At 35.5% G+C, this 8652-nt stretch overlaps 1 long non-coding RNA gene across 1 annotated transcript in view; it reads right to left on the bottom strand.

Moving 5' to 3' along the window:
- The window catches only part of LOC124904198 (uncharacterized), a 31473-nt gene extending 23134 nt beyond the window's left edge, over positions 1–8339 (bottom strand). The window contains exon 1 of the long non-coding RNA XR_007066164.1: positions 8269–8339. This is a non-coding gene — a long non-coding RNA (uncharacterized LOC124904198). The remainder of the gene's footprint in view (positions 1–8268) is intronic.
- Between the last annotated feature and the right edge of the window lie 313 nt (positions 8340–8652).

The following is an 8652-nucleotide window of genomic DNA, read 5'->3' as shown; positions in this document are numbered from 1 at the left end:
TGTAGATAAATATCAATCCATTGGTTCCTGTCTCTAGACATGATATATGAACAGAATTCCACAAAGAAAACTATTTTTCTATTTTTTAAAAAATGTAGAAAATTAATTACTGAAAAATTACTAAGTTTTAGACTTAATGTCTTCAAATTAAAAAAAAAAATTCCTACAATTCCACTTCCTACCCTTGCCAATCAATGATTCCCTGGCTTCTTCCCATTCATTTTTTATGAAGCAAGTCTCACAATTCAAGGTGACCATATCTCCTCCTGCTGTACGATCCCCTTTAGAGATCACCAATGTGTGAAGAAAGGAAAGAGGCAAATCTACGATAACATTTGGCTAATACCATTTCACCATCATTGGCATTCTCAATTACAATTATCACTACAATTAGAGCAAGGAGACTTAGGAGCTACTTTTCAAGTGCAAGATAGAATATAAGCTTTAAAAACTTAAATTAGAATAAGAGATATTTAAGTTATGTGGGAGAGATTAACTCGTAAATTCGGACTTTCTAGGAAACACCTACTCCTCTGAGCGATCTAGAGAATTATGTCCCATCTATACAAAAGAAAATCTGTTTTCAGAAAAATAACTCAATTGAATTAATATAAATTAACCTGTTAATAAGTAGTTATTTTTAAATAACAAGCTGTTTGAAGCCTATTTTTTCTTCCATTTTTGGTGCCTTATATTTGCCACAGCCAAGACGAAAAGATAATAAAATCTTTGACATAATATCATCAAGGGGTAATCAGTAACTGATAACTGCCTCATGGCAGATAATCTAGACAGTCCCTGTCCTATATTCTAAAGCAGAAAAGACCAACAGACATCAAAGGGAGTCTGTCTTCCAAGGATTCTATGGCAGTATTACTCCATCATCCCACAGTCTGGCTGAGGAGCTAAATGCAGTATTTTCTTCTGTTCAGCCTAATAGGAAGAGTATCAATGATTAGAGATTATAAACATATCCCCTAAGGAATACCAAATCTGGTACAATGCAATCTCAATGAGAAAACAATCTCTGAAAGACAAGAGAAAAAAAAAACCTTATTTATCGAGTGCCTACTATTTACTAAGCATTTTTATTCCTCATACTACACCCATCATGGTACTATTTTCACCATTTTAAAGATGAGGAAAGGGAGGCCAAGTTACGTTCCTAATGAGCAATAAAACCTACAGTTTTGTAGAATTCTGTGAATTTCATATTAGGAACAGATAATAATTGTTAATATATATGCACCTAATAGATCCCTAAAATACATGAAGCAAAAACCGAGAGAATGCAAGGGAGAAAGAGATAATTCAACAATCATAGTTGGAGACCACTTAATGCCTCATTTTCAATATTGGACAGAAGAACTAGGCTGAATATCAAAAAGGAAACAGAAACTTTAACAACACTATGAACCAAGCAGGTCTAACAGACATCTATAGAAGAATCTGCCTAACGATAGCAGAGTAGTCATTCTTCTCAAGCACACATGGAAACATTCTCCAGGCTAGACCATATGTTAGGCCATAAAACAAGTCTAAATAAATTTAAAATTATTTAGATCATACTTAAAATGTTATCTGTCCACAGTTGGGATAAATTAGAAGTCAGTAATGCAAGAAATTTTGGCAAATTCACAAATATGTGGAAATTAAATCGCACACTCTTGAATATCCAAAGGATCAAAGAAGAAATCACAAGAGAAATTACAAAATCCTTTATATAAATGAAAACAAACACAACATACCAAAACTTATGGAATGCAGCTAATGCAGGGCTTACAGTAAAATTTATAGCTGCAAGATACATATATTAAAAACATATACCTTTATTAAAAACAAAAAGCATCTCAAATCAATAATTTAAATATCCACCTTAAGTACTAAAAAAGAACAAACCTCAAATAAGCAGAAAGAAACAATAAAGATTTGAGTGCAAACAAATGAAACAGAAAACAGAAAATAAGAGAGAAGATTAATAAAGCCAAAACAAATTTTTTTTTTTTTTTTAAATATCAGGGTGGGCACGGTGGCTCATGCCTATAATCCCAGCACTTTGAGAGGCCGAGGCAGGTGGATCACTTGAGGTCAGGAGTTCAAGACCCGCCTGGCCAACACGGTGAAACCCTGTCTCTACTAAAAATACAAAAATTAGCCGGGCATGGTGGTGGGTGCCTATAATAATCCCAGCAACTTGGAAGGCTGAGGCAGAAGAATCGCTTGAACCCAGGAGGTGGAGGTTGCAGTGACCCGAGATCATGCCACTGCACTCCAGCCTTGGCAACAGAGTGAGACTCTGTCTTAAAAATGAAAAAGAAAAGAAAAGAAAATATCAACAAAATTGACAAAATGTTTAGCTAGAGTGATCAAGGAAAAAGATAAAAAACTTAAATTACTAAAATCAGAAATAAAAGAAGGGATATCACTAATAACCTTAAAGATAGATATATATATATGGGAATACTATGAACAACAGTATGCCAATAAATTAGATAACCGACGTGGAATAGGCAAATTCCTGGGAAGATATGACCAGCAAAAAGTGACTCAAAAATAAATAGAAAATCTGAATAGACCAATTAGAGTAAAGAGATTGAATTAGTCACGTCAAAACTTCTCAAAATAAAAGCTCAGGCCCAGTGGCTTCACTGGTAAATGGTACCAAACATTTAAAGAATTAATACCAATCCTTCACAAACTTTTCCAAGAAGTAGACATGAATAAAATACTTTCCAACTGATTCTATGAGGCATTTTACCCTAATAACAAAAACAGACAATGGCATAATAAGAAAAGAAAAGAAAGAAAACTACAGAAAAACATCACTTATGAGATCATAAACAAAAGAAAAGGATTCTCAAATTCAAAAATATATAAATATATAAAAAGGCTTCTACACCAAGACAAAATGGGATTTCTCCTAGGAATTTAAGGTTGGTCTAACATCCAAAAATCAATATTAATACAATAATATAATATAATATAATAATCAACATTAATAGAATAAAGGACAAAGCCCATACAATTATCTCAGTAGGTTAAAATATAACATTTGAAAAACATTCAATAATCATTCACGATAAAAGATAAACATTAGAAATAAAAGGGAATTTCCTAATTCTGATAAAGAGTATCTATTTAAAAATCCACAGGTAACATTTTACTTTACAATGGAAGGCTGAAGTTTTCACCCAAATCAGGAACAATACAAGGATGTTTGCTCTCACCACAACTCTTTAACATTGGACAAGAGGTTCTAGTCATAACTATTAAGCCAAAAAGAAAAGATATAATATGTATATGATTGGGAAGAAAGAGTAAGACTATATCTATTCCCAGATTATATAATTTGCATATAGAAACTTCTAAGGAATTCACTTTTAAATGTATATGTGTGTGTGTATATATATATATGAACCAATAAACAAGTTCAGCCAAGTTGCTGATACAAGATCAGTATACAAAAATCAGTTGTATTTATCTGCACCAGAAATGAACAACCTAAAAAATAAAATTGAGAAAGCAATTATGTTTATAATTCAATTTAAAAGAATGAAATAAGTAGAAATAACCTTAAAAGAAGTTCAAGACCTGCATACAAAAACTACAAAACACAGTTGGAAAAAAATAAAGAATTCCTAAATAAAGGAAAAAACATTCCATGCTCATGAATTGGAAGATTTAAAATTATTAAGATGGCAATACAACTCAAATTTACCTACAGATTCAGCTGAATCTTGACCAAAACACTAGCTTCTTTCAAGCAGAAATTGACAAGCCAACTCTAAAATCCATATGAAAATACAAGACACCAAGAGTAGCCAGAACAATTTTGAAAAGGAAGAGCAAAGTTGAAGAACTCACATGTTTTCATTTCAAAGTCGACTACAAGGCAACAGTAATCAAGAAAATGTGGTACTGGCAGAAGGATAAACATATACATTTAGTGAATAAAACTAAGACTCCAGAAATTAACCTTCACATTTTTAATCAGTTGATTTTCAACAGAAGTGCTAAGAAAATTCAATGGGAATTTTTAATGTTAGCCTTAGATAACAGGTATATTCAAAATATGTAAACCACAATATCAAAAACAGCCCAGTAATAAAGAATAACGAAGATACTAAAATTTATAGTCTTAAAAATTGAATGGAAGAATCATAATCTCACAAACTATAAATGTACTTAGTGTCATGTAAGTAAGATGTGTCAAATGAGCACACTTCATTTTTTCCTGACTTCAAGGGAGTTCATTTGTAACTAGCAGACTTTGCATTTAAGAAAAATATTCATAAATTAAAATTATGGTGTGAATACCTAGAGTTTTAGATGAAGTTATGTAAGTCTTAAGGTAAACGCTGAACATAGAGGTTACTACAAGACATGTAATAAAGGAATTTGGCAAGACTCTGTTGCCATCCATATGGGTATGGACAAGTCTCTTCACCTCTGTTCTTCAGTATCCTCAACATTAGAGTAATTGAATGATGCATTAGTCCATTTTCACACTCTTACAAAGATACCACCTGAGAAGGGGGATTTTTGAAGAAAAGAGGTTTAATTGACTCACAGTTCCGCATAGGTGAGGAGGCCTCAGAAAACTTAACAATCATGGCAGAAGGTGAAGGGAAAGCAAGGCATGTCTTCTCATGGCAGCAGGAGAGAGAGAGCAAAGGAGAAAGTGCCACTTTTAAAACCATCAGACCTCCTGAGAACTCAATAACTATCATGAGAACAGCATGAGGGAAACTGTCCCTATGATCCAATCACCTCCCACCAGCCACCCTCCCTCAACATGTGGGGATTACAATTCAAGATGAGATTTGGGTAGGGACACAGAGTCAAACCATATTAGATGACATAATCTTTATGGTTCTTTCTAGCTTTGAAAATTATGTATAAGACAGTAAGGCATAAGGATTATGAGTTCTACATGCACTTAGAATTAGATAATATCCTCAGTATTGACTGATTATCTACTGTGTGCCAGGCTCTATTCCAAGCACCGTGGTGAAAGAAACACACAAATATCCCTGTCCTCATGAAGCTTACCTTCTAGTGGGTGAAGCAGGTAATAAACAATATAAGTAAGTAAAAATAAGTATGTTAGATACTGGTTAGTGTTAAGGGAAGAAAATAAAGTAGGGAAGGGGGACATGAAATGTTGGGAGAAGGTTGAAATTTTAGATAGGATGGCCAGGGAAGGTCTTTCTGACAAGGTGAAAGTTAATCATGTACGAGGGAAGAATCCACAGTAGTAAAGAAGGAGTATGGAGACTGAGGGCAGAGAGTAGTAAAGAAGGAGTATGGAGACTGAGGGCAGAGAGGTAGAGAGCTCTTAGGAACTGGGAGGATATGTGATGACATGCTGACTTGAAAACTGCAAAACATAAAAGAGTTGTGAGCAGAGATGTAAGATGATCCGGTTTACATTTTAATAACATATTTTGGGTACCATTCTCAGACTATATTGCAGAAGTAGGGGAAGCTGTTAGGAAACAATTGCAGTAATCCAGGTGAAAGAGGATGAAGATTTGGACTACAAAAATGGAATGAAAAGTGATAAGAAATAGAATTCTGAATATATTTTGAGGAGAGAGCCAACATAATTTTCTAACAGACTAGGGTGGGAGGAGAATGTAAGGAGTCAAAGATAACTCCAAAATCTTTCTACCCAGCATCTCGAAGGATGTAATTACCATTTATGGGAAAGTTGGCATGAGGATAGTTTAATAATTGTTTATAGATGAATATTAGGAATTGTTTTGAACATGTTAAGTTTGAGATGTCTCTAACTATCCACATGACATATCAAGTAAGTTGCTGGATACAGGTTTCTGGAGGTGAGGAGGGGTCAGAGCTGCAGATATAAATTTGGGAGTCATCACCACATAGTATGGCTTTAGTAGTTAAAGCCATAAAACTAAATGAGATCACCTAAGGAAGAGGTAGAGACAGAGGAAGAAGGGGGTTCAAAGACTGAACTCTAAGTCACGCTAACATTTACCAGTCAGACAGATAAGAATGAATTAGCAAAGAAAGAGCAAAAAATATATAGGAGAAAAAGAAAACAGACAGGGTGGGTGTTATGGAAGCAGTGTTTCAAAAACAAGTGAATGATCAAACATGCTAAATGCTGCAATCAATCAATTTAGAAGAGGATTGGAATTGACCTCTTACTTAGCAATGTGGAAGTCATTGGTTTAACTTTAAGAGAAGTTTCTGTGGAATGGTGGTAAAAAAATACTTGATTGGCATGGATTCAAGAAAAAATTAGAGGAGGAAATTGGAAGTACAGAATAAAGCACAAAAAATGCCTTAAACAAGTTTTTCTGTAAAAGAAGGGAGAATAATGAGAAGATAACTTGAGACAGACTGGGATTCAAAAAGGTGGGTTTTTTTAATTGAATAAATTGCAGAATATTTGCATGCTGATAAGAATGATCTTGTAAAGAAAAAATGACGATTTAATAGGGAAATTCTAGGATAATATCGATAGACAAAGGATGGAATCTAGAGCACATATACATTGGATAGCTTAATAAAGTTTAGAATCTATGCAACAAAGTTATAATGACAGTCATGGAATTTAAGCAGAGTAAGATTGTAAAATAGAACATTATAGTGGTTACAGTGAGTGGATTATTGGTCGTGTCAGACCAAATTATTTTTGAAATCAGGGAAACAAGAGGTGGTGGTTGCAAAGTAGAATGTCTGCAATTGAGAGTTTGCAGTAAGGAGTATGATAAGATCAAGGATAGAACATGGGATTGAGTGGCTAAAGAGGAGTTAGAGGAGGTCAAGCAATTTATCACAACAAATCACTAAAAATTACCCAAATGAACGTCGAAATTCTCCAGAATTATGATGAGAATGAAGTTGGATGGAATGAGTGACCCAAGAGGTAAAATGTTCAGGGAATGAAAGTTAGCAATCTGGGAGGTATTAAACTAATTACGTTAGGTGAGATGATGGATAAAGAGTACAGTCTGAGAACATGAGATTCAAGCTGGGCGTTTTCCATGGAGGAGAAAGGGAGAAGGGCCTAGAAATCCCAGGATAGGAGGGGTCTGGGAAATAAAACACTCAACATTAGAAAAGGCAGTAGAAATATAGTATTATATAGAGCCAGGTTTTGGTTACAACAAAAAGAAGAAGAGAAAGTTGACAAATGAAATTTAAGATAAGGTTTTATTGCTGATTCACAGAGAATTCTAGGGCTTCAGCAAATGGGGGAGGAGGAGATTGGGACAGAAAAGACAGTGTCTAGTGTCTTAAAGAATTCAAGTCCAGAGTATGGGACAGACCAAGAAATATATGAACAGTGATGCAGGGCATTGTGATATTATTTCTGGTGTACCAGAAGCATAAAATGGCAGAGAGGCTATGAATGTTTGAGGGAGAAAGATGTGGAGGTGTCTTGCCAGAGCAGGAACTGTTCAGAGCCTCATACCTGGTTCCCACAGATGGAGATGAGATACCTGCAGAAGGGAAGGCTTATTCTGAGGACGCAGGCACTATCTTGAGCCTTGCTGATGGTGGGTGCAAAGCATGGTCTTACTCGATGGCTAGCCACTCCCTTGCCCTCTACCAAATGGCAGCCTGAAGAGGGGGTCATCGTAGTTACTTACTCATTCACTCACTCACTTTCTATGTACTCAGCACTCTTCCAAGCATTTTCCGTTCATTAACTCATTTAATCCTCATAATAACTTTCTGAAGTTGATACTACTTATCTCTGTTTACAAATAAGGAAACTGAGACACAAAGAGGTTAATTAACTTGCTCAATAGCCGGTAAATAGGAAAACAATTTGCATCAGCCTGGTTCGACAGTCTGTGATTCTAACTATACTATAGTTGACATTTCTGTTGATTAAACAGATGTAGAAAAATGTAATGAGTTCCCTCAAGTTCATCTATTTACTTACAGAGCAGAACTAGGTCACAATACAAGACTCCCAAAATTTCTTATTTTCTTTGACATCACTATGTCTTTCATCACCATGATTATAACATTATAACAAACTGTATCTACTTTTACCTTTGACTATCAAAAGTATTTCTAAGTACAGGACCATAGTTGGCATTAATATTCCTGTCACCTTCTTGGACTGTTCCTGGAATTAAGACACCATTTGGAATTGCTTCTGTACTCTTTAGTCCTTACAGGAAAATGTGAAAAATCATCTTATGCAACCTACTATTCAAAATACCTCACATGTATTACCACAGCATAGCTTTTGATGCGAAAGCAACCACCAATTACCTTGTGATCTTTGGTGCAGCTGTGGCCATCTTGGAAGCCTGGGTTCTCAGTCTTCTGGCAAGATCTTCTGCCTGCAAGGAGGACATATTGAAAAGGAATTATCCAGCCGGGCTCAGTGACTCATGCCTGTAATCCTAGCACTTTGGGAGGCCGAGGCAGGAGGATCACTCAAGGTCAGGAGTTTGAGACCAGCCTGGCCAACAGGGCAAAACCCTGTCTCTACAAAAATACAAAAAAAAAAAAAAATTAGACAGCCACGGTGGCACACACCTGTAGTCCCAGCTACTCAGAAGGCTGAGGCAGGACAATCACTTGAACCGGGAGGGAGAGGCTGCAGTAAGCTGAGATCATGCCACTGCACTCCAGCCTGTGTGACAGAGTGAA

The sequence above is a fragment of the Homo sapiens genome, chromosome 1 (assembly GCF_000001405.40).
Source record: "Homo sapiens chromosome 1, GRCh38.p14 Primary Assembly".
Taxonomy (NCBI): Eukaryota; Metazoa; Chordata; class Mammalia; order Primates; family Hominidae; genus Homo; species Homo sapiens.
Note: the sequence above shows the minus strand (reverse complement) of the source record. Positions and strands in the feature narration are given on the sequence as shown.